General features: G+C 38.3%; 1 protein-coding gene across 1 annotated transcript in view, besides 2 other annotated features; it reads left to right on the forward strand.

Annotated features, from left to right (window-relative positions):
- Window positions 1–26780, forward strand: part of HS3ST4 (heparan sulfate-glucosamine 3-sulfotransferase 4) — a 445727-nt gene that overhangs the window by 147141 nt on the left and 271806 nt on the right. The gene's annotated exons all lie outside the window — the stretch shown is intronic.
- Window positions 5505–5762: a silencer, noted in NCBI's record as "fragment chr16:25855925-25856182 (GRCh37/hg19 assembly coordinates)". NCBI's record gives its function as "represses an EF-1alpha promoter that drives an FKBP-Casp9 reporter gene in an ReSE screen in phorbol 12-myristate 13-acetate-treated (for megakaryocytic differentiation) K562 erythroleukemia cells {active_cell/tissue: K562(+PMA)}" and the evidence as "EXISTENCE:reporter gene assay evidence [ECO:0000049][PMID:32094911]".
- Window positions 15969–16263: a silencer, noted in NCBI's record as "tiled region #8309; K562 Repressive non-DNase unmatched - State 24:Quies". NCBI's record gives its function as "represses a minimal TATA promoter and a strong SV40 promoter by Sharpr-MPRA in K562 cells {active_cell/tissue: K562}" and the evidence as "EXISTENCE:reporter gene assay evidence [ECO:0000049][PMID:27701403]".

A 26780-nucleotide genomic window follows, 5' to 3' on the forward strand; every position in this document is an offset into this window, starting at 1 on the left:
ATCTGACATGTGTAAATCCAGGACTCTGTATATATCCTCCTTGGTATTGATCCTTTAAAAACAGATCTCTAAAGATTAACTTCTTGGAACAAAGATAATATATTTATGGAATGTAGGGAGTGTATCACTTTATTATTTATGTAGCTGTTTGGGAAGATGTATCTGATTTTATGAAGACATCATGAAGAAAGCAAAGGAAATCTCACAAAGGAAGACTTGGCTGTCTTGCTGGTGACCTTCCCTTTGAAAGACAAAAGGAAGCAGAAACTCACAGAGATAACATGTGAAATCACCCATTGGATCTTCCCTTCCTCCATTTTTGTTTTAGAATATTCCCATAATTTTCTACCTTTAAGACAGTTAGTAGTGGTTTCTCAGCCATTATGCATGTTTATCAGGAAAATAAAAACATCCTCTCCACCCTCCGGACTAGCATTCTCATTGAGTGATCTCCAATTTCTGATACACAGGAGACTTCTCTTTCAGTTATTTACATGGTCTTTTTCTTTTCCTGACAATAGGGCTTTGTGTTATATTCTAGTGTTTATAAAAATGCCAGGGTCTCACAACAGTGATCAGTGAATATCGCTCTTCACTGTTTTGTCTATGATAAATTTTTAGCATGAGAGTCTAGGTCAGTCATAAGAGGCTCTAGGATGGATTTTTCTGCCTTGACATGCCCCACTCTTGGAAGAACATCTAATTTTATTGTTGAAGTGATGATCACAAAAGCCAATCAGCACTGCGAACTTTATGTGGCATTGAACTTGAGCTCCATTTTAAGGCAGGTCCAATCCCTTTGCTGAAAAAAGGTTAACACTCCTGGTCAAAAGGAAGAAAGTATAGGCCGAGAAGAAACCATATGTGGAATACTTTTATCATGAAATATTTGTATTAGAAGACAGTGGTTAAGTCCAGAATGATATGGTTGAGTTATACCTTCCATGGCCTGTCAATCAGTGGAAACTAAAATGTTCTTTCTGGTCGATCTCTTCTTACAACACCATAAGGCACCCTTGATCAACAGTATATCACTTTCATACTGATACTCACTGGTGCATGATTGGAGAGTGATAGAGACAGTTCAGATAAGGTTCCTGTCGACAATTTTCCTTAAATCTCTTTGACATAAATGTCCCAAAAATTATTTCTGGGAAGCCTTTTGTTGCAAACAGCTGACAGAGAGTTTCAGTTATGGCAGTAGGAATTTAAAATAGGTTTAGGATTCCTTTGAGCATTTTGAGACGCAACTACTACAATCCAGAAACCCACATGGCATATGGATTCTGTGAAGTCTTTTGGTATCTTGACTGTTCCACCAAAGGGTGTTTCAATAGGTTAAGTTAAATAACTCTCATATTTTATTTTACTCCTAATATCAAATAAGTTGTTGGTCATCACGTAGCTTCCAGCCTAGCTAGTGTTTCTATGCAAATAGTTCTTAGATACTATCATATTATGATGGTAAAGATAATGTAATATCAGTTTCCTGGAATATAAAAGTGATTTTTTTCCATAAAGGGCATTTTACAATGGATCATTAATTCATTTTATGAGGACCTTAATGTTTTGAGCACTGTAAAGAAATAAAGTATCAACCTACTGGGGCCAAAACTGATTCAGCAAAGAATTTAATCACCTACAGAACATCCTCTTATAAGGTATTACACATCCTTACAGCTTGGATCAAATAAACACTGTGGAGTTTTTATTGGTAGAAGCAGCACCCAAATATTACACATGAAAGAGCCTGGGATGCCAAACCCAATCCATGGGCCATCTGTGGTCAAGTAAGCTTATTGGTCTAAGACAGAAGACTCTCATAGTTGGCCAAATGAGATTTGTATTTACTTTACTTTAATTTATATTTGTTTGTTTATTTATTTATTTATTTATTTATTTATTTATTTATTTATTTATGTTGAGACAGAGTCTTGCTCTGTCACCTACGCTGGAGTGCAGTGGTGCGATCTCTGCTCACTGCAGGCTCCGCCCCCCGGGGTTCATGCCATTCTCCTGCCTCAGCCTCCCAAGTAGCTGGGACTACAGGTGCCCGCCACCTCACCTGGCTAATTTTTTGTATTTTTAGTAGAGACGGGGTTTCACTGTGTTAGCCAGGATGGTCTCGATCTCCTGACCTCGTGATCCACCCTCCTCGGCCTCCCAAAGCGCTGGGATTACAGGCGTGAGCCACCACGCCCGGCCACTTTATTTTTTTGAAACAGAGTTTTGCTCTGTCACCCAGGCTGGAGTGCAGTGGCGTGATCATGGCTCATTGCAGCCTCAACCTCCCCAGGCTCAGGGGATCCTCCCACTTCAGCCTCTGGAATAACCGGGACTATAGGCAGCTAATTTTTGTATTTTTTGTATAGATGTGGTTTCACCATGTTGCCCTAGCTGGTCTAGAACTCCTGGGCCCAAAATATCTGCCTACCTTGGCCTCTGAAAGTGCTGGGATTATAGGTGTAAGCCACTGTGCCTGGCCTGTATTTAATTTTCATATTTATTTAATATTAAATAATCTTCTAATATTTTATTCCTTCAGATTTTATTCAAAACCAGAGACAATCTCATGGAGCTCCTTGTGTCATTAGATTCACCTTCCCGAGTAGGTCTCAATTGTCTTCCAGTCTATGAGTTTCCAATGAATATGGCATAATGGGAACTAGAACCTGCGTCTGTGGGTGGTGTGGAGACTATTGCTTCAATATGTTTTCCCATTCTTGTAACTGTCATTATGGTCTTAAACCCAGAGCTGTAATGAACAGTATGGGATTATCCATAGATAAGAGTCCTAAAGACATTCTGATAGAGGCTTATAATCAGTACAAATTGTAATGGCCGTAGAAGGAGTTGTTCTGCAGATGGCTTTATTCTTGAGTACTCAGCACCATCTGGCACTTTGGGGCTGAGCCCAGCCCTACCACTACAAAAAACCATATTTGCAATATATTGGCACAAACATGCAAGTCAATGGCTCCTTGACATTTTGGACTTTTTATCGTATGGCAAGTCCAGCTGCAGAGCATGCCCTTTTCCAGTGGGCAGAGAAGTGGCTCAGTTGAGGTTGCCTTTTGTTGAAGAAAAGGTCACCTTAAGGAGTCTTAAAGCTTTAGCTTAAATTTTTGGAATTACACATGGCACTATGAACCACTTCTTCCAGGTCGAGAGAAATACTTGTAGTCCTGATATTAACATCTAAGAATTTCACATGGAAAGATCTGCATTTATGTTAACACACACTGAGATAACTGACACAGTCAAACAACATGGACTTCTTCCAATCTGCTCTTAAAAACTTCCCACAGATTTCAGTGATCGTATATGCCCCACTGTACTGTGATTTTTTATTTTTCTTGCTTCTCTTTAGCCCACGGACTGTGATGTTTTGGAAGGAAGAAGCTGCCTTTTTCATCTTTTTCTTCCCAGTATCTTGGACCTGGACTGGCATGTTTTAGATACCCAGTAAATTAACTGAATTAACCCTGAAATCTTTCTTTGTTTTTGTGTTTTATTAATCCCATTATTAGGAAGTAATTAGGAAGTATGGGTCCACCACTAGAATCCTAGAAATTAGGAACTTCAGGGACCAATAGCTATTTTGAACTCAAGAGGCTTAGTACCCCTTTATAGGTATCTGATCCTATAGACACTCTGTCTGATCATATAATCAGTCTATTCCTGGGTGAGTGAGTGTGCAGATGTACTGGCTCCACTGTTTGCTAGCTGTGTGATATTAAACAAGTTATTTTGACTCTCAAAAACCTTACTTTTTGCACCTATAAAATGAGGGCAATAATACTGGCTAACTCTGAGATGGTGGATTTTATTAAATGAAGCATTTAAAAATATGAGCAATACAACCAATAAACATAAGTTATTTACTAAGTTTGGGCAAAAAGCACGGAGTCTTCCCTGTACTTCTACAGCATACATTTTATTCCCATAGGAATATTTTCTTCTTGGAAAATGGATAACTGTCCTGATTATCTATTGCTGCATATGAACCACCCCCAAATTTAGTGAGTTAAAATAACAATTTATTCTTCTTTGTATAATAGTTATTATTTTTCACAGTTGTGTGGGTTACTTTGGCTCAGTTGGGTAGTTCTCATGTGTAGTCTCTGAAGCGGTTCTGCCTGGGTTTACTCTGCAGACAGACGATGCTATCAACTGGGAGCTGACCACTGGAGCTGTCACATGTGGCCACTCCATATGGCTTGGGATTCTTACAGCATGATGGTCTCAGGGACGCTGCCCCTTTACAAGCCAGCTGATTTCCTAGAGGAAGCATTCCAAAAGACCCCGTGGAAACTGTAAGCCTTCCTGACCTAGTCTTGGAGGCTGTTCATGACCTAGCCTCAGACCTGCATCACTTCCACAGTATTCTATCAACCAAATATAAATCCCATGGCCAGTCCAGATTTGAAAGGAGGAAGCTATATTTGGGCATGAATACCAGGAGGCATGGTTCATTGCAGGGAAAAAGGAATGGAAAGAAGGCTGTCTTTGGAGACCAACTACCAAGGGAACTCAGCTCTTTTGGCAAAGAGACTTTGGAAATGAATGTGGTGGGGTATCTGTCTAATGATCGTCTACATTTAACAACTGTAATCAGCTCTAATCTTTCAATCATGGCTATTAATGGGTGCTGTTACATATACGGCAGCAGCCTGTGACATTGCATGCAGGATTCTCTTACTATCATGCAAGTCTTAGACTGCATTATCATTTGAAGAGCTGGGATCGCTTGATGCAAGGTGATCAGCTTTGACACTGCTTGAACTTCATTTTAACGGGTTTTGAATGGCCTCTCTCATGTTGCCCCAGTCTCCTAAAGTTTGTACCCTGGATTCAACCTGAGACAGTAGACAATATTTTGCTCCAGTGTAAACTTTATGTTGTAATTCTTGAGCATATTTGCAAATGAGTTAAAGTACTAATTTCTAACTGCTGAACAGGTAAGGCAGATTTTTCACATGTTTGTTTTTTAAATCTCCCAAATAAATATATGTTTATTAAACAATAAAATAAAATAGAAGTATAAAAACAGAAAACCGTGTTGTCCCCTCCCTGGTTCACTATCATTCTCCCTAGATGTATCCATTTTTTAATGCCTTAGTATCTGTCCTCTAAGATCGTTGTTTATGCTTTTGCAAAGACACATTTATCGTTTTGTTGCTTATTAAACAAAATTGGGATCATGCATTCATTCAACTAGAAATTTATTTTTATTCATCCAGGGATTCTTTACTGAGTGCTAGTTTATCTGAAATTTTATTTTATTTTAAAACAACATATCTTGGCCAGTTTTCTATATTAGTCCTTGTAGTTGCTCTTATTCCTTTTAATTTCTGCTAGTGGTTATTCATGTAGCCATTTCTTTAATGATGTTCATGAAAAGCATTTCCATTTTTATATCTTACAGAGTCTGGTAGTGATCATTTGTGAACATGAATCTTTGAGCACACACACACAATAGGAACGCTTTTACACTATTGGTAGAAATGTTAATTAGTTCAACCATTGTGGAAGACGGTGTGGCGATTCCTCAAAGATCTAGAACCAGAAATACCATTTGACCCAGCAATCCCATTACTGGGTATACATCCAAAGGAATATAAATCATTCTATTACAAAGATGCATGCATGTGTATGTTCATTGCAGCACTATTCACAATAGCAAAGAGATGGAATCAACCCAAATGCCATCAATGATAAACTGGATAAAGAAAATGTACATATACACCAGGGAGTACTATGCAGCCATAAAAAGGAACAAGATCATGTTCTTTGCAGGACATGGATGAAGGTGAAAGCCATTATCCTCAGCAAACTAATGTGAGAACAGAAACCCAAACACTGCATGTTCTCACTTATAACTGGGAGCTGAACAATGAGAACACATGGACACAGGGAGGGGAACATCATACACTGAGGCCTGTTGGGGGGTGGGGTTGGGGAGGAAGAGCATTAGTAAAAATAGCTAATGGATGCTGGGCTTAATATCTAGGTGATGGGTTGATAGGTGCAGCAAACCACCATGGCACACCTTTGTTACCTATGTAACAAACCTGCACATGTACCCTGGAACTTAACATAAAAATAAAAATTAAAAATAAATGTAGGCCGGGCACGGGGATTCATGCCTGTAATCTCAGCACTTTGGGAGGCTGAGTCTGGCAGATCGCCTGAGGTCAGGAGTTTAAGACCAGCCTGGCCCACATGGTGAAACCCTGTATCTACTAAAAATACAAAAATTATCTGGGCATGGTGATGAGCACCTGTAATCCCAGCTATTCTGGAGGCCGAGGCAGGAGAATCGCTTGAACCTGGGAGGTGGAGGTTGCAGTGAGCTGAGATCGTGCCACTGCACTTCAGCCTGGGCGACAGAGCGAGACTTCATTTCAAAACAACAACAACAAATGTAAGAATCTAAGAAGAGGAAATGCTGGGTCAAAGAGAAGACCCATTTAAAATTTTGATTAATTGGTGCCGAAAAATTGACTTTCAAAATGATTGTGCCAAGGAATCCAAGGAATAGCATGTAATAATAATAATAATAATAATAATAATAATAATAATAGAATTCCCTACTCTCTCAAAGCCTGGATATTGTATTTCTTTCTTTCATTCTCTTTGTCTTTCTCATTCTCTCTCTTCATTTTTGCCAATCTGGAGGCTGAAAAATGCTATCTCACTGTTTTATTTGTCCTTTCGAATAAGTTTATTCTTATAAATTTAATGCACATTTATTTGTTCCTCTTTTTCTCTGCATTATCTATTCGGACCTTTACTCATTTTTCTATTGGGTTGTTTGTCTTTGTGTTAGGGTCCCTGTTTTGCTCTTATTATGTTACTGTTCGTATTTGGAGTTGTCCCCTGCAAGGAACAAAGAGCTGGATTAACAGTGACTTAAACAAATAAGGATTTATTTTTCTTCCACAATGAGAAGCCTAGAGGTAGGAGGCTGTTGGCATTTGCTCTGTAGCTCAGGCTTGTCAGCAGTGCGGTCTCTTTCTTGGCTTTTTCCTCTTGATCGTAAAGTAGCAGTGCCAGTGGCATCTGTCCTTTTTATCAGAAAGCTAAAGCATTCCCAGAAGCTGCAAGGAAGTTTATGCCTAGAATGGAGGTAGGAAAAGTCAAAATAAATTGGTGAGGAGTTTTGAGTTGACTAACCAGCAGTTCCTGCAATTTTGGTATTAATACCTTGTGTTATTTGTTAAATTGTGTTTTGTAACCTGGGCGACACAGTAAGACCCTGTCTCTACAAAAAATAAAAAATGTAGCTGGGTGCAGGGACAGGTACCTATAGTTCCAGCTACGCAGGAGGCTAAGGTGGGAGGATCTCTTGAGCCCAGGAGTTCGAGGCTGCAGTGAGCCATGATCACACCACTACACTCCAGCCTGGGCAACAATGTGAGACCCCATCTCTTAAAAAAAAAAAAAGTTGTATTTTTTTTTCCCCAGTTTGCCATCAATATCTTAAGTTTGTAGTATCTTTCAGCCCACAGATATTTACATCTTGAAGGCAGTGAATTCTGTTATATTTGTTTATAATTTGAGTGTTCATTCTTTCTATAACAGAAAATTAAAAAAATTTTCTAATATAGCCATAGTTTTGATTATATATATCTATATTTTTAATCAATCTATAATTTATTTTTATATGCAGTCTGATGTGGGAAAATACTTCTCATTCCCCCAACAGTGGAGATGAAGTTTTCTCAATACCGTCGTCAAGTTTTCCGCATGTGCACTGCATGATCTGTTTTGGTACTATCTGTTGTGTTCCACTCATTCATCTCTGTACTGGAATCCTATTCTTTTAATTACTACAGCTTCTTATATAGTCTAATGCTAATGTCTAAAACAGCACATACACTTCCTATTTTGCTCTCCCATCAACACGAGTTTTTTTTTTTTTTTGACTCTTTTTTTCACATTTACAGGTAAATTTTACAGGCAGTTTATTAGCTTTCTTTAAAACATCATATTGGAATTCTTAGCAGGATTACATTGAGACAGTAGATTAATGTATGATGTTTCAGTCAAGGAACATGGCATGTCTTTTAACTTATTTATTGTTAAATGTACTTTAGTAAGTGTGTGTAGTTTTTCTTCCATCCTATACATTTTTGTTAGGTTTATAACTAGATATTTTATATTGTACCTGGTTCATAATTGGGATCCCCCCCATATAAATTGTTATTAATGCTTAGGAGAACTATTGATTTTTGTCTGCAGTCAGCCACCTTAAATTATTTTGCTATTAATTTCAAAAATTAAGTTGAGTTTAGTAGTTTTTGTTGGGTCAAGAATGATAACACATGCAAATAGTGACAGTTTGTGACTTTCTTTACAATTTAACTCCCTTCAGTTTTGTTTGTTTTTGACTTGGTGCAATGTCTAGAATATCTAAGACAATGTTGAATGTTAACCGTGATAATCAACTTTTTAATCTAATTCTTTATTTTAATTGAAATGCTTATAGTGTGTCACTCCTGAATATATAGTTGTAGTAGATTTTTGCTAATACTCTTTATCAGTTAAAATAAAATCTGTTTCTAGATTGCTGTGAACTCTTCCTGGGAATTCAGGTAGCTCTTTGTCAAGATTTTAAACATTTATTAAGGTGAACATATAGGGTTTGTCCTCTTTTAAAAAAGAAGGTGGCTAATTTCAGAAATCCTAATGATGGATCATTATATCATTCCTGAGAAAATCCTATTTGGTTCTGTCGTTTCATTTGGTTAAGACATTGCTAAATTAAAATTACTTATCTATTTGTTACAATTTTTGGTATTTATATTTATGTATTTAAATTATTCTTTTGAGGGTCTTTACTGCTGGTAAAATACAATTTGGTTTTTGTATCAGTTTTATGTTTGTCTTTGAGAATGATTTCAACAACTTTCTTTTTCAGTGTTCTAAAATAATCACAGTGAAGTACAGATTACATATTGTGAGAATGTCAGTAGAACTCATCCATAAAACTATATGGGTCTGGTGATTTGGGAGGGTTAGGTATTTGCTAACTTTTTTTTTTTATTTTTTGAGACAGAGTCTTGCTCTGCTGCCTAGGCTGGAGTGCAGTGGCACGATCAAGGCTCACTGCAACCTCTGCCTCCCGAGTTCAAGCAATTCTCCTGCCTCAGCCTCCTGAGTAGCTGGGATTACAGGCGTGTGCCACCACGTCCGGCTAATTTTTTGTATCTTTAGTAGAGATGGGGTTTCACCATGTTGGCCAGGCTGGTCTCAAACTCCTGACATCAAATGATCCGTCCGCCTCAGCCTCCCAAAGTGCTGGGATTATAGGAGTGAACCGCTGTGCCCAGCCTAATTTTAAACGAAAAAATAATTTTTTTTTTTTGCTTTTTCTAAGCCCTTTTTGAGTTTACTTTGGTAATTTAAAAATCCTTAATAATGATCCATTTAATCTAGATGTTCAGATTTATTGATGTAAATTTATATCTAGTATAAACCTCTCCCACATTTGTAGTTATGCCCTCTTCATCATTCTGAAGATTGTTATTTGTGCTCTCTTTATTTCTTGCCAGGTCTTACAGAAGTTTGTTTATTTTATTGCTCTTTTTACAGAGCTAGCTTTTAGTTTCATTGCTGCAAATTCCTATTTTTCTTTTGTTTTCTGTTTCATTTATTTCTGCTTTTATCTTTATTCCTTCTCTTTTTTTTGTTTTACTTTCTTCAGTTTTTTTATTATGGTTTTCATGGTTCCTTTTCCAGCTTCCTGAGTTGAATGTTTAGTTCATTTATTTTCAGTCTTCCTTGTTTTCTAATACATTTAAAGTTGTAAATTTTCATCCAAGTACTGCTACATTCCATAATTTAGATATGTAGGGTTCCAGTTGTTCGTTTCTAAACAGGTTGTAATTTCGGTTTTGAATTTCTATTTAATCCATGAGTTATTTAAAAAACTGTTTTAAATTTCCAAATAGATGGTTTTGTGGTGGTGTTACTTATTTTTGGTTCTTGGCCATCTGTTTGTTAATAATGTCTACATTTACTGTGTTAATTCTTCTATGTAGCTTTAACATTTTTGACTTCTTTTTGAAATTTATTGAGATTCTGTTTATGGCCTAATAAAGACTGAAATTGTTGATAAATATATTTTTAAAGGATGTATATTTTCTGGGTACAAATATACATATACATGCAGACGTATTTATGTATATACATGTACGTGTATACATGAACATATCTGTGTCTAATCAGACTTGTTAACTGTCATCATTAAAATCCTTCTTTTGATTGGTGAATCTCTGAGCAAGAAATGTGTCACTTTTTCTTTGAAATTCTGAATCGTTTTGGTATATTTATTTTGAAGTCCTGTTATTTGATGAATAACTTTTCATAACTTTCTTTAGCGCTTCTTTTTCTTACTTATTTTTATTTTTCAGACAGGGGCTCGGTCTATCACCTAGGCTAGTCACCTAGGCAGTCATGGCTCACTGCAGCCTCCACCTCCCAGGCTCAAGCCATCCTCCCGTCTTTGCACCTCAGCCTCTAGGGTAGCTGGCATTACAGGTGTGTGCTGCCACATCCAGCTAATATTACGTATGTTTTTGTAGAGACGGGGTCTCACCATGTTGCCCAGGCTGGTCTTGAACTCCTGGGCTCAAGCAATTTGCCTGCCTTGGCCTCCCAATGTGCTGGAACTACAGGTGTGAGCCACCGTGCCTCACTTAGAGCTCCTTAATCTATCACATGTTTTATTAATAAAATATTCTCCTCTGTCTCTTATGACATCTGTCACCTTAATTCTATTTTTTTCTGATACTTATGTTGCTAATTTAATTTAATTTTATTCTCTTTTCAATCTTTTTGGATTACTTTGTTTTGTTTTATGTCGTATAATGAAAATATAGATGCCTAGATGCCTTTTTTTTTTTTTTTGAGACGGAGTTTTGCTTTTGTTGCCCAGGCTGGAGTGCAATGGTGTGATCTTGGCTCACTGCAACCTCCGCCTCCCTGGTTCAGGCAATTCTCCTGCCTCAGTCTCTCGAGTAGCTGGGATTACAGGCATGCACCACCATGCCTGGCTAATTTTGTATTTTTAGTAGAGATGGAGTTTCTCCATGTTGGTTAGGCTGGTCTTGAACCCTGATCCACCTGCCTCGGCCTCCCAAAGTGTTGGGATTACAGGCGTGAGCCACTGTGCCCGGCCCCTATTTTTTTAAACACTCACTTGTAGCATCAAATGTTTGAAAATTCTGTATGGGCTGGGAAAAAACCCCACATCCATCTCGACTGCCTTCAAAAACTCTACCCAGTCTTTAAGATGAAGTTGAAATAGCTAACCTCTTATGTGAAACTTTTCTAGAAATGCCTAGCCCCCCAAATAAGCATATTCTTCCCCTCTATGTCTAAGTTACTTCATTACTTCTAAATTCTGGCTCTTAGCACATTGTATTGGAAGTATCTACTTAACTAATTTTTTCCTGGATTCATGGAAAAGAAAACAAAATTCAAATTTCTTTGCCTCCTATTCTCCAAGCTCCCACAGCTCTCCCCAAAACAATTGCTGCAGCTATTCTTGGTTCTGCAACTCCTTACAGAGACTCCGGGGTCTCCAAGGTTATTCCTGCTGCATCTGGAAGGATTTCAAAGTTAAGAAAGAAAAGAGTGCTTCATACAAAGGCACAAAGACAGAAAAGCACTGCCCTTTTGCGGGGCTTTACTAGGTCGTTGTGTCTGGAAACTATTCTGTGTTAAGGAGGGAACAGGGAGTATGGTGGGAGAGGATGAAAAAGGAACAGATTTTCATTTGGAAACATTATTTTCATGCATAAGGCGATACTGTGTCTGTTGGCCCATTACAAAGTCTTTGAGACTCAACTTGGACCTTTTACCCAGTAATTTCCTATTTTACTTCCAGAGTTTAGTGGCTGGCAATTCTAAGCGGTTGGAGTCTTAAAGAGTGAAGCTTAATTTGGAGAAATCACTCAAGGAAAAGTTTTCCAATGAAACTGAGACATGGCCAAGCACTGTGGCACTGATAAATAAATAGTGCTGGACGTTCCCATGTTTCTGTCCCATCCTGTACTAGCACTGGGATTGACTGGACGTTTAGATTATATGTTTGTTTTTCCATGCAGATGGATGCCTGGCGGGTTGGTCACCATGCCCAAGCTGTTTCATTTTGTGTTTATTATTTGCTCACCATTTCTGATTCCAGGGAGGACGGCATGTTGCAAGTGGCTGTCATCACTGTTTCCAGTCGTTCCCATCTCTATGAGCATTCCTTCTTATGTGATATTACAGAGCGGGCTCTTTGAGTAGAGCCTTCCATTTGCCCTCTGTCCATAGAGCCATCTTCCCAAGTCTTCATTGCATGCCCACTCCTGCCATTGCCTGATTTTCTTCCTAAATGATTTCCACTGCCATTACCTTTTTTGGTTACTCGAGACCACCCTTCAGCTCCACACACTGTCTGTCCCTGCACATTTTAGTGACCAGAGGTAGTTGAAACTCAGCATTCTTTGGAAAGAAAGCTTTGGCAAAGCTGGTGCAGCACAGCTAGAGAACTTGGATATACAATCTTTGTTGCCTCAATAGAGGGAAGTGGAGTCAGGTGGGTGAACTGTGGGGCAGGCGGGGGCATGTCAGGAACTAATAGCCTTGAAATACACTAGACATAGCAAACAACCGAGAATTCATCCTAGGTTGACACTACTTCCAAAAGGCATCATTCTATTGTTCAATTTTGACGGTGTTACGGAATCTTTTCATGAGAAACGCCTAACGACACTTTCGAAGTTATTAATGGATCCTGCCATGCTATGATAACAATGGCAGGTAGTTAAGGACTATGTGCTTCAGGTCCTGCCCTGTGCAATTTTATACACTTGCTCAGTAACAGAGGTATCATATGGGTTCTATACCATCTGATTTTATAGATGAGAAAGGTGACATATAGAGGAAGTAAAGGACCCATCCAAAACTGGGTGAGTAGGTAGTGGAGTTGAGATTTGAATCATGTCTCATTCCAATGCACTAAGGCTAGATGTCTCCAAATGAGAAAGTCAGCAGGGTCTCTCATGACAAATAGAGTCCTACTCTCTCTTAGTTTTACTTGTTTCTCTTGGAATAGCCTGTCCATCTCTTCTTTAATCCCCTTTCCAATCAAACTCCTTAAGTGCTTCTGAAAGTCTGGTTTTTATTTCTTTTTTAAAAAATTAATTTTAATTATTTTTAAGTTCTGGGGTACATGTGCAGGATGTGCAGGTTTGTTACATAGGTCAACGTGTGCCATGGTGGTTTGCTGTATCTGTTAACCCATCACCTAGGTATTAAGTCCAGCATGTACCTGGCCATGCTTTGAGATTTAAATCCATTTCCCTAATTACTAGTAAACTTGACGTTCTTTTCAAATATTAGCTATTTATATTTCTTTATTCTGAATTTCATATGCACATTATTTCCCATTTTTTTTTAAATGGGCAATCTTTTTTTTTTTCTTTTAAAAGCTCTTTATAAGAGCTCTCGATACATTCTGGATTTCAATCCTATTTCTGTCATATAGGATGGAAAAAATTTCTCCTAGATTGTTACTTGTCTCTAGCTTCCTTTGCAGAATCTTTTGTCAAACAGAAGTTTTAAATTAATTACATGAAATCAAGCAGTATTTCCCTTGATTATTTTGTTTCATGCTTCATATTTCATCATTCTAAGATTATAAAGGTATTATCCTATATTCTTCTTTAATCATTTTGAATTTTTAACGTTGAAGTTTTTAATTCATCTCCAGTTTAATTTTGTGTGTGCAATGTGAAGGATGAATCTTGTACTATTTAAAAATTTCCAAATGTATACTCAGTTGTGTCAGCCCCAGTTTTTAAAGTTAGTTCCACCAGTCTTCTCTGATTTTCTGTTTCTTAACAATTCCCTCCTGTCCTGCTCTTGCCTCAACACTTGTAAAATTACTTTAGCTGATTAACCTGTTTTCCCCAGCGTTATTATCAATGTATAGATCTTTCACCTCCTTGGTTAAATTCTACCTTAGTATTTTACCTTATAAAATGCTTTTGTAAATGAAATTGTTTTCTTAATTTCTTTTTAAGAGAGTTGTTCATGTAAAGAAATGCAACTGATTTTCGTATGTTTATTTCATATCCCGCAACTTTACTGTATTTTTTCATTAGTTCTGACAGATTTTTGGTGAAATCTTTGTGAGTGTGTGTGTGTGTGTGTATATATATATATATATATTCCTCTGCAAACAGAGACAATTTAACTTCTTTTTTTTCCAATTTGGATGCGTTTAATTTCTTTCTTTCTCTGGCATAATTTCTCTTGCTGGGATTTCTAGTATTATGCTGAATAAAAGTAGCAAGAGTGGCATCCTTATTTTGTTCCTGATTTTGGAGGGAAGGCTTTAAGCTTTTCACTGTTGAGTTTGAGGTTAGTTGTGTACTTGTCATATATGACCTTTAGTATGTGAAGGTACATTTCTTCTATACCTATATTGTTGAAAGTTTTTATCATGAAAGGATGTAGAGTTTTATGCAATGCTTTTTTCTGCCCTTGCATTTTGTTAATATGATGTATCACATTTATTGATTTGCATACATTGAACCATCCCAGGGGTAAATCCCACTTCATCATGGTTTATAATTCTTTTAATTTGCTGCAGGAATTGGTTTGCTAGGATTTTTGCATTGATGTTCATTAGAAATATTGGCCTGTAATTTTCTTTTCTTGCAGTATTCTTGTCTGGCTTTTGTATCAGGGTGGTGCTAGTCTTGTAAAAATGAGTTTAGAAGTGTTCCCTCCTCTTCAAGTTCTTGAAAAAGTGTGAGAAGGATTTATGTTAATTCTTCTTGAAATGTTAGTAGAATTCACCAGTGTAGCTAACTTATCATTGTTGAGAGGTATTTGATTACTGATTTGATCTCCCTATTTGATATTGGTCTATTGAGATTTTCTATTTCTTTATGATTCAGGCTTTGTAGGTTGTATGGATTTCTTTTTTGTCCATCTGTTTAGCCACTCCATGTCTTTTTTTTTTGAGACAGGGTCTTTGTTGCCAAGGTTGGAGTGCAGTGGCACAATGATAGCTCACTGCAGTGGCATAATGATAGCTCACTGACTGAGCCTCCCGAGTAGCTGGGACGACAGGCACTTACCAACAAGCGTGGCTACTTCCTGGAACTGAGGGTTCCTTTCCTTTTTAGACCATATAGAGTAACTTCCTGACATTGTCATGGCATTTGTAAACTGTCATCGTGCCAGTGGGAGTGACTTTAAGCATGCTAATGAATTGTAATTAGCATATAATGAGCAGTGAGGATGACCCGAGGTCACTTTCATCACCATCTTGGTTTTGGTGAGTTTTGGTTGCCTTCTGTATTGCCATCTGTTTTATCAGCAAGGTCTTTGTGACCTGTATCCTGTGCCGACCTCCTATCTCATCCTGTGACTTAGAATGCCTAACCTCCTGGGAATGCAGCCCAGTAGGTCTCAGCCTTATGTAACCAGCCCATCTACAAGACAGAGTTGCTCTGGTTCAAACGCCTCTGACATTTTTGCCTCTCCTGTTGACTTTAAATTTCCTTAAATACTCTTTCTCAGAAAGAGACTACTTCTTGTGGCTCTTTCCGTTATAATCCACTGTTATTTTACTGGAGCCCTTGGTGTGGTGGTAAGGGAGGCGAGGTGTTTGTTGACAAAAAAAAAAAAAGAAAATGCAAACTGTAAAATATTTAAAGAGGTTTATTCTGAGCCAATATGAGTGAAAGTTTACAAATTTGTGTTGGGCCACATTCAAAGCCATCCTGGGCTGTCAGTTGGCCTGGGGAACAATCTCAGGAGGTCCTCAGAAAATGTGTCCGAGGTGGTTGAGTTACAGCTTGGCTTTATATATTTTGGGGAGATAGAAATACAGGTAAAGACATAAATCAATACATGTAAGGTACACATTTGCTCAGTCTGGGAAGGTGGGATCTCTCAAATGGGTCAAAAGGGTGGTGGGGAACCAATAGGTCATAGGAGGATTTCAAACGTTTTTTGATTGATGGGTGGATTGAAAGATTTTCTGATTGGCAGTTGGTTGAAAGAGTTAAGCTAGGACTTGAAGATGGTAGAAAAAAATTCTTGAGTTCAGAAAAGGGGGATGGGTGTGGAAGTCAAAGTTCTTGTTATGTAGATGAAGCCCCCACATAGCAGACTTCAGAGAGAATAGGTGGTAAATGTCTCCTTTTGGACTTTAAAGGTGTCAGACTCTTAGGTAATTTCTCCTAGATTTAGGAAAGGCCTGGCTGCATTAATAGAGATTCTCTACAAATGCAAATTTTCTCCCATAAAGATGGCTTTGCAGGGCCATTTCAAAATATGTCAAAGAAATATGTTTTAGAGTAAAATATTTTGATTTCCTTCAGAGTTTGCTATCTGTTATGTGATGCTATACCAGAGTCAGATTGGAATTTGGTATCTTATTGGCAAGGAGTCTGTTTTGTCAGTCTTATAATCACTATTTTAATGTTAGTGCTGGTCAGTTGTGACTAAACTCCGAAAGGCAAGAGGAGTGTAACAAGTTATGTCTGACCTCCCTTCCCATAATGTCTTGGAATTTAGTTTTTCAGGTTACTCTGGGCTGCTCTTCACCAAGGGGCTGTGTGTGTTTGTGTGTGTATGTTTAGTCGTTTGTGGGGGCTTAGTATTTTATTTTTGGTTTTCACTTTCTTTAATCTTATAGTTAAGTTTCAGTCCTTTAGTGGGCTTGACTGCCTGGGCTGAGAGCTTAGTAGTGTTTTTTTAAACTTTCTTCCCTCCCTTAGGTGGGACAGAAAGGATAGAGGGGCCTGGAATGAGAGAATGCCCTTTCCCCAGCTGGATAAGGCTCTGGTAAAGTCTTATTCCCTGGAGAGTAGCCCTTTGTTATGGAGAATGCTCTGGGCATACCTGGGTGTTTTCCACCCTGGATAGGTCTGTTCTCTCCAATTCCCCACCAGAGCCACAAGGGACCTTCCTCTGCTTTTCACGGGGAAAAGCTAGTAGAGTTTCTGGACGTAAAGCTGACTAAATTGTGGTGGATGCCCTGTGGTATAATAAAAATATAAATATTTGGTCTGTGTTTTGGCACAGAACTCCTAAAACCTTTGGAATTTACTGTCTTTTGTATGCTAATGAGATTACTCCAGGCAGGGGGCTCCTAGATAGCTTCAAGACTGGGGTCACCAGAAAGATTAAGCTATGATTAGGAGGCTGAACTTTCATCCCCACCCTCCAACCTTCAGGGAGGGGAAAGGGGCTGGGAGACTGAGTTCAGTCACTAGTGGACAATGATTTCATCAGTTATGCCTGCATTAAGAAACCTGCATAACAAAATCCCTAAATGATAGTGGGGTTTGGGGAGCTTTTGGGTTGGTGACATATTAATGTGCCAGGAGAATGCTATGTCCAGAGAGGACATGGAAGCTTTACACCAGCGGTGTCCAATCTTTTGACTTCCTGGGCCACAATGGAAGAAGAAGAATTGTCTTGGGCCATACATAAAATACACTAACACTAACAACAGATAATGAGCTAAAAAAAATCACACAAAGAAATCTCAAAATGTTTTAAGAATGTTTATGAATTTGTGTTGGGCTGCATTCAAAGCAGTCCTGAACCATGGGTTGGACAAGCTTGCTCTATGCCATCTTTCAACCCCCATGCCTTACCTAATGCTACTCTTCCATTTGGCTATTCCTGAGTCGTATTCTTTAAAATAAACTAGTAATATTAAGTAAAGTGCCTTCCTGAGTTCTGTGAGCCATTCTAGCTAGCAAATGATCAAGCCTGAGGGGTGGTCATGGGAACTCCTGAATTCATAGTTGGGTGGGCAGGAATGTGGGTAAACTTGACACCACATTTGCAGCCAGCATCCGAAGTAGGACACAGTTTTGTTGGACTTGACCTGTTGGGTCTGTGCTTTGAGTAGTTGGTGTCAGAATTGAATTGTGTTGTTAAACACCCAGTTGATGTCAGAGAATCAGAGACTCCCTAAGTCTGGGGGCCTTAGGAGTTGCTCACTCTCATGTTAGTCCACAGTAGTTCTTCTTTTAAATGATAATTTGTCAGAATTACCATTTAAGTGTTCCTATCAGTGTATGCCTCCAGGAGCTTCTTCTCCAGGTGGGTAGATCTTGACTCTTAACTCTCTGGATTCATCAACTGTCTCTCCTAATTATAAGGTGGCAGTTTGCCTTGTGGCTTCAGCTCTCTGAAGGATCTAAGAAAAGACATTGATTATCAGTTTGTTCAACTTTTCTGTTGTTGGAAGGATGGGAGTGATGGGTTGTCTAAGGTCTTTACATGCTGTAACTGAAACCTTACATTGTTTGAATGAGCCCTATGTGGTCATGATATATTTTTCTTTTATACACTTCTGCGTATGATTGGCTTATAGTTTGCTTCTGTGTCCCTAAGTGAGACGAGGCTGTAGTTTTTTACTGGGGTGTTTATCGTGTTTGTACAGGGATTCACAGAAAGAACTGAGACGCTTTCTAGCTTTTTAGTTTTAGGGCTTTCTATTGTGTCTTAAAGGTTTGACAGGACTATCTGTCAAATGCCTGGGTTGGTATCATTTTTTTAATTTACGCCTTGTTGGTATTTTTACTTTTTACACTTATGAATACATATAACACACACATATACGTGCATACTCAAACATACACATATATAATTCTACATAGAAGTACTCATAGCGTGAAAGCATTTTGTCCTGGAATCCTTAATTTGTCATAGATTCCTTAATTTACATGAATTTCTTTCTCTTTCTTTCTTTCTTTTTCTTTCTTCCTTCCTTCCTTCCTTCCTTTCTTTCTTTCTTTCTTTCTTTCTTTCTTTCTTTCTTTCTTTCTTTCTTTCTCTTTTCTGTCTTTCTTTTTCTTCCTTCTTTTCTTTCTGTCTTTTTCTTTCTTTCCTCTTTCTCTTTCTTCTTTCTCTTTCTTTCTTTCGTTCTTTTTCTCTCTCTCGCTTTTTTCTTTCTCTGTTTCATTCCTTCTTTCTTTTTTGCTAAACTCTTTCCTTCATGTTCCCTTCCAACTCATTCCCCAAACTCCACTTTATAATCAATGCTTACAGGTCAGTGTTACTTTCTGCAGCCTTCTCTACACTTATAAAATTATACAAACTTGCATGCACATATATAATTTCACACACACATCTTTCACTCGTTCATAGAAATATTTATTCTGATTATTATTTTGTAAAAATCAGAATACACATGCATGTACTCTGCTGTGTCCTGCTTTTCTTATTATCAATACATTCTGTAAATTGTTTCAAATTAGCTGATAAAGATCTAGCTCACTTTTCAAAGGTGTAATTTTCTGTGGTAGGGCATTCACTTTGTCTCCTCCTTAATTTTTCTTTTACAAATGATTCTGCATTAACAAAGTTAACACATATCCTATGGTACTGGTCCTTTTATTTCTATTTGATAAACTCCGAAGAGTGGGATTTCTGAGTTGCAATGTATGCTTTTTTTTAATTTTAGTAGCTATTTCCAAATTGCTTTCACTGATACTTCATTTTGAGTAGGTTTTTGACAGCATTTCCAATATTTTCAATGGTTATTTGTCTACTCATGCTTTCTACCTCTTCTTGAGTCAATTTCAGTAAGTTATATTTTCTCAGGAAGTCATTCACTTGGAATGGATTTTCAAAATTAGTGGTATAAATTTTACATAGAGTTCTTTTATAATTTTAAAAATTTTCCCCCATCTCTGTGGAGCTCTGAACACTTTGTATGTGTCCTTCCTTTTTTTATCTGGTTTCTCTGAGTGTAATTTCCCAATTCTTTAACTCGAGAATACACCAGAAACCTGCAACTTTTTGTCTTTCTTTAGTTTGGGTTTGGAACTCAAACCTACTCTTTCCTCTGCAGCAGTCATTTCCTGTAATGTGGGGGTTACTCCAACATCCCTCCCACCCCACACGTCCTTGGGTTTTTATGAATTTATTATTTAAAAGTGCTTTTTTGGTAATTTCTTGGAATTTTGGAGGGAGAAAGCAGACACTTGTTCTAAAAATCACATATGAATTCAGTCCTCTCTGTATTTCTAATGGACTAGCATTTTTAAGAAAAGGTATGTTTGGCAAGACAGAAAATAAAAATACAATGAGCTTCTTGGAAAATTTCTGAAGCAGACAGCAGCAAACGGAAATTAAATGAGCACACACTACATCAGGCTATTTCACACATATTATCTTATTTAATTCTCATAGCTGTACTATGAGTTTACTATAGCATCATGCCATCAGCTATAGCTGAGCAAACCAAGGCACTGAGAGGTAAGTAATTCACCTAATAAGTGCAGGGCCAGAACTTAAAATCAGTTTTCTTGATGTGCCCTACAACATATGTGCTTTCCTGTAGACAGCTAAGTTATTTTATTTATCCAGTAACATTTCATCAACCTGTGAAATAACAAGACTAAATTACATAGTCTGTGCTGAGAATATCTGCCCTCATGGCTGCCCGTAGTATTTTGAGCATCCTGTCTTGATAGTATTCCATGGTATAAATCTTGCCTTATCTGGATAGAATTAAAAAGAAAAAGCAAAAACAAACAAGCACAAAACAGGGTCAAAGACCTTAAAAGACACCTCACCAAAGAAAATATACAGATGGCCAATAAGTGGATGGAACAGATGTTCCCCATCATATGTCATTCAGGAATCTGGGAAATGCAGATTAAAACAATGAGATATCACTACACACCTATTAGCAGGGGTCCCTGACTCCCAGGCCATGGACCAGTAGGAGTCTGTGGCCTGTTAGGATCCAGCCGCACAGTGGAAGGTGAGTGGCAGATAAGGGAGATTTACCACCTGAGCTTCACCTCCTGTCAGATCAGCAGCGACATTAGATTCTCATAGGAGCACAGACCCTATTGTGTGTGAACTGTGCATGCGAGGGATCTAGGTTGTGAGCTCCTTATGAGAATCTAATTGACCTGAGGTGGAACAGTTTCATCCCGAAACCATCCTCCTACCCCATTCCTGGAAAAATTGTCTTTCACGAAACCAATCCCTGGTGCCAAAAAGGGTTGAGACCCCTGCTATTAGAATGACCAAAATCCAAAACACTGACAACACCAAATGCTGGTGAGGATGTGGAGCAATAGGAACTCTCATTCATTGCTGGTGGGAATGCAAATAGTACAGCCACTTTGGAAGACAGTTTGGCAGTTTCTTATAAAACTAAATATACTCTTACCATATGATGCAGCCATCATGCTCCTTGGTATTTACCCGAAGGAGAAGAAAACTTATGTCCACACAAAAACCTGCACATGAGTGTTTATAACAGCTTTATTCATAGTTGCCAAAGCTTGGAAGCAACCAGTATGCCCTTCAGTAGTTTTGGATACACAGTTTATGGATACATAAACTGTGGTACATCCAGAGAATGGACTATTATTCAGTGCTGAAAAGAAACAAGCCATTGAGCCATGAAAAGATATGAAGGAACCTTAAATGCATATTACTAAGTGAAGGAAGCCTATCTAAGGCTACATACTCTGTGATCTGACTGCATGACATTCTGGATATGGCAAAACTATAGAGATAGTAAAATGATCAGTGGTGGCCAAGGTCTGGGGATAGGGAGGGTTGAATAGGTGGAGCACAGGGTATTTTTAGGGCCATGAAATTACTCTGTATGATACTACGATGGTGGATACATGGCATTATAAATTTGCCCAGACCCGTAGGACATACAACACCAAGAATGAACTCCAATGTAAACTATGGACTTTGGGTGATAACGATGTGTCAGTGTAGGTTTATCCATTATAATAAATGCACCATGCTGCTGGGGGATGCTGATAATGAGGGAGGCTGTATGTGGAGGGGGACGGGGAGGATATGGGAAATCCCTGTTCCTTCCTCTTAATTTTGCTGTGAACCTAAAACTCCTATAAAGAAAAGTAAAGTCTTAAAAACAAACAAATACACAGCAACAATCTTATTTTCCCCAGCCTGTCTTATGTTAGGGTGCAGATGTGATTTCTGTGTGGCTAATCAGATGCCCTTGTGTGAGAGACTGATTTGAACAGAGGCAGGGGCATCCATCTTCCTAGTGTCAGTCACAGCAGAAGCAGTGAGGTCCTGGTGTCTGTCGCTGCAGTGGTGGCTTTTGATACAGGAGTTCCCTGATGGCAGTAGCTTCTTTGTGGGTTCAGTTCTGTTGTGTGGTTCTGCAAGTTCAGCTTAGAGTCTGTTTCTTCAGCTGTTTCAATGACCCTCTGAGCTGTCTACCATGAAAAATTCTATCCTGCTTACACTAATTAGAGCCAATCCTGTTATTTACAAATGAATATCCTGACCAGTAATGAAGGTCTAGACTTAACTGTAATATTTTATGACTTAAATCGTTGGCATATGTGAAAACTTTTTGTTTATTCTAAACTTTTTTGTTGTTGTTGTAAAATAAAACATTTATGAAAAGCGCACCAAAAAGGATAACAAATGAGAGTAATGCAACATACAGGCACCAGCAACTCAGGCCAGGGAGATGATATATGAGCATCCCCAATCTCCCCTTTACACTCCCTCAAATAACTCAATCAAGACCACAGTTCCTTCCCTTTCTCTCAGGAAAAACAAAAACCATCTAAACTTATTGTAATATATTTCCTGCTTTTCTTTGTAATTTTACCACTTATCCTCCCTTAACAGTAGGGCTTAGTTTTGTTAGTTTTTGAAATTTACATGAGCAAAGTTATACTGTAACTTTATGCATGATTTTATGTCTTGCTCATTTCACTCAACGTTGTGTTTGTAAGCATCACTAATTTTTGGGCATAGCTATAGTTTGTTCATTTTCCATGTCATGTAGCAGCAGTCCCCAACCATTTTGGCACTAGGGATGGGTTTCTCTTGTGGAAGACAGTTTTTCCATGGATGGAATGGGGTAGGGGAAGGTGGTTCCAGAATAAAACTGTTCCGTTCCACCTCAAATCATCAGGCTTTAGATTCTCATAAGGAGCACACAACCTAGATCCCTTGTATGCACAGTTGATTCTCCTATGAGAATTTTATTTATTTACATATTTATTTATTTATTTATTTATTTATTTATTTATTTATTTATTTTTAAGACAGAGCCTCACTCTGTTGCCCAGGCTAGAGTGCAGTGATGCCATCTCAGCTCACTGCATCCTCCACCTCTCAGGTTCAAGCTATTCTCCAGCCTCAGCCTCCTGAGTAACTGGGATTACAGGCACATGCCTCCATGCCTGGCTAATTTTTGTAGTTTTAGTAGAAACGGGGTTTCACTATATAGCCCAGGCTGGTCTCGAACTCTTGACCTCAAGTGATCCACCTGCCTGGGTCTCCCAAAGTGTTGGGATTACAGGCGTGAGCCACCTCACCCAGCCTTCCTATGAGAATGTAATGCCGATGCTGATATGACAGGAGACGGAGCCCAGGCCAGTAATGCTCGCTCGTGCTCACTTCCTGCTGTGTGGCGAGGTCCCTAACAGTCTGCAAACAGTTATTGGTCCCTGGCCTGAGGGTTGGGAACCCCTGTCGTACAGTAAGTATTCCGCTATTTAACGATACCGTTTAGTACTTACAGACATTTGCATTATTTCCAGTTTATGACAATTATGAGTGATGTAGCTATGAATATTCTTGTACCTTTATTTGGTGCATGTGCACATGACTTTCTCTCTTACAGAAGTGAAAATGTCGCATCATTGGTTATTTGTATCTTGAACTTCAATGAATAATGCTACTCTTTGCTTTACAAAGTGTTTCCCCCAGTTTTAGCCCCACCCACTGTGTCTGAGCATTCCTATTGCCTCCTATTCTTGAATATTTTTGATTTTAGGATTTTTCATCTTTGTCAAATATGTGTAGTGTGGGCTTATTATGTCTTTGATTTGCATTTCCCTCATTAGTAATGGGATTAGGCATTTCATTTGGCTATTTGGATTTCTTCTTTCGGTTGTATGATCCAGTAGTTAACTCATTTTTCTATCCTCTAACCTATTTTCTAATTGATTTGCATATCTTGGAATCCTTTGTTAGTTTTATATGAAGTTTTTTTTCTGCCTCCAGGGTTCAAGCAATTTTCCTGCCTCAGCCTCCCGAGTAGCCAGGACTACAGGGGTGCACCACCATGCCCGGCTAATTTTTCTATTTTAAGTAGAGCGGGGTTTCACCATGTTGGCCAGGATGATCTCAATCTCTTGACCTCCTGATCTGCCCGCTTCAGCCTCCCAAAGTGCTGAGATTACAGGCATGAGCCACTGTGCCTGGCCGTGTTTGAAGTCTTATGTGTTCTACTCTGTGGCTTGACTTTTCTCTCTCTTCATGATGTTTTATGATAAATAGAACAATTTAAGTGTGATCACATTTACTATACTTTTATAAGTAGAGCTTCTTGGGTCTTGTGTATTATTTCTGTCTCCACTATGAAGGCATGAAGGTATTCTACGTAATCCTCTAAAAGCCTTATAGTTTTGACTAATTAAATTAAAGAAATACTCTATCTTGCTTGAAGAGATCAGGACACTTATTAGAAATGTGTTGTTTTGATTTTATAGACAGGTGTTATGTGTTGTGTGTGTGTATGTTTTAATATTTAATCTGGATAGTTATAGATTTCAACATTTATTTCCTTTAATGTCAACTGAACAAAGAAACTTTGTGTAAAATTCCTTTCTAATCCTTGAACATCGTGCTACTCAAGAAGTCCAGTGTTTGGGTGGCTGCTTAGTCCGCCAGGGATGCCAATAACAAAATATCACAGACTGGATGGTTTAAACAAAAGAAATTAATGTTCTTACATTTCTGGAGGCTGGAAGTCCAAGATCAAGGTGTCGGCAGGTTTGGTTGGTTTATTGTGTGGCCTCTCTCCTTAAGGTGCAGAGAGCCACCTTCCTGCTGCCTGCCGCCTCTTCGCCTCTTCGCGTGGGCATCCTCTGTGCACACGCCCTCTTCTCTCTGTGTGTGTGTCCTGATCTCCTCTTCCTAAAGGGACACCACTCAGGCTGGGCTAGGGCCCACCCTAATGGCTCATATCAACCTCTTCTCTCTTTTCTCCCAGCTTTATTAAGGAAAAATTAACAAATAAAAATTGCATGTATTTACGGTGTGCAACATGATGTCTTGATATGCGTATGCAATGTGAAATTATTAAATCAAGTTAGTTAACACATCCATCACCTTAGATACTTATGTTTTGTGGTCAGAACATTTAAGATCTATACTTTTAACAACTTTTAAGTGTGCAAAGCATCATTATTATTAGGTTGGTGCAAAAGTAATTGTGTTTTTTTTTGCCATTTAAAAGTAGTGACCAAACAGAAATTATTTTTGCACCAACCTTAACTACTATAGTTATCATGCTGTGCATTAGATCTCCAGAACTGGTTCATCCTGCATAGCTGACACTTGGTCCCCTTTAACCAACTGTCTCCTCATTCCCCCTCCCACTCCCTTTCCCCTGGGAACTGCCACTCTACTCTCCTCTTCTATGGGTTCCACATTGTAAAATTCCACATATAAGGGAGGCCATGAAGTATTTGTCTTTCTGTGCCTGACATAGTTCACGTAATATTTTCCAGGTTCATGCATGTCATCTCAAGTAACAGAGTTTCCTTCTTGTTTGTGGCTGAATAATATTCCATTGTGTATATATATATTTATTGTGTGTGTGTATACATATATTTGTTGTATACATATTCCATTGTATATATATTTATAAATAAAATCCTGCATTTTGTGTGTATATATGCAATCCTGAATATATATATACAATGGAATATATATATATAGAATATATATACACACACACAATGGAATATTATATATATACACACACATATATATATACATATATACACACATACTCACACACACATACACACTCACACACACAAACACACATATGTGTATACACCACATTTCCTTTGCCCATTCTTCCATCAGTGGACACTTAGGCTGATTTCATATCTTGGCTATTGGAACAATGCTGGTATGAGCATGAGAATGCAAATATGTCTTTAACACAGATTTCATTTCCTTTGGATATATGCCCAGAAGTGAGATTGCTGGATCAAATGATAGTTGTATTTTTTATTTTGTTGAGGAACTGTTTTCTATACTTTTTTCCATAATGGCTGTACCAATTTACATTCACAGCAACAATGCACAGGGTTCCCTTTTCTTCAGATCCTCACCAACACTTGATATATTTTACCTTTTTGGTAATAGTAGCCACTCTGACAGGTGTGAGGTGGTATTTCATTGTGGTTTTTATTTGCACTTCTCTCTTCTCTGATGATTAGTGATGTTGAACACTTTTTCATGTAACTGTTGGCCATTCGTATGTCTTCTTTTAAGAAATGTCTCTTCAGGTCCTTTGCCCATTTTAAAAATCAGGTTGTTTTCCTACTGTCGAGCTGTTAGAACAGAGCTAGAGGCATCACACTACCTGATTTAAAAACATACCACAAAGCTAGAGTAATCAAATCTGCATGGTACTGGGCATAGAAACAGACATATAGACCAATGAAACATAATAGAAAAATCAGAAGTAAATCAATCAATTTATGGCTAGTTGATCCTTGACAAAGTTGCCAAGACCATGCAATAGGGAAAGGACAGCCTCTTCATTGCATAATGTTGGGAAAACTGGATACCCACATAGAGAAGGATGAAATCAAACCCTTAGCTGACACCATAGGCAAAAATCAACTCAAAAGGGATTAAAGACTTAAATGTAAGACCCAAAAGTCTAAAGCCACTAGAAAAAA

This window comes from Homo sapiens, chromosome 16 (assembly GCF_000001405.40).
Source record: "Homo sapiens chromosome 16, GRCh38.p14 Primary Assembly".
In the NCBI taxonomy this organism is placed as follows: Eukaryota; Metazoa; Chordata; class Mammalia; order Primates; family Hominidae; genus Homo; species Homo sapiens.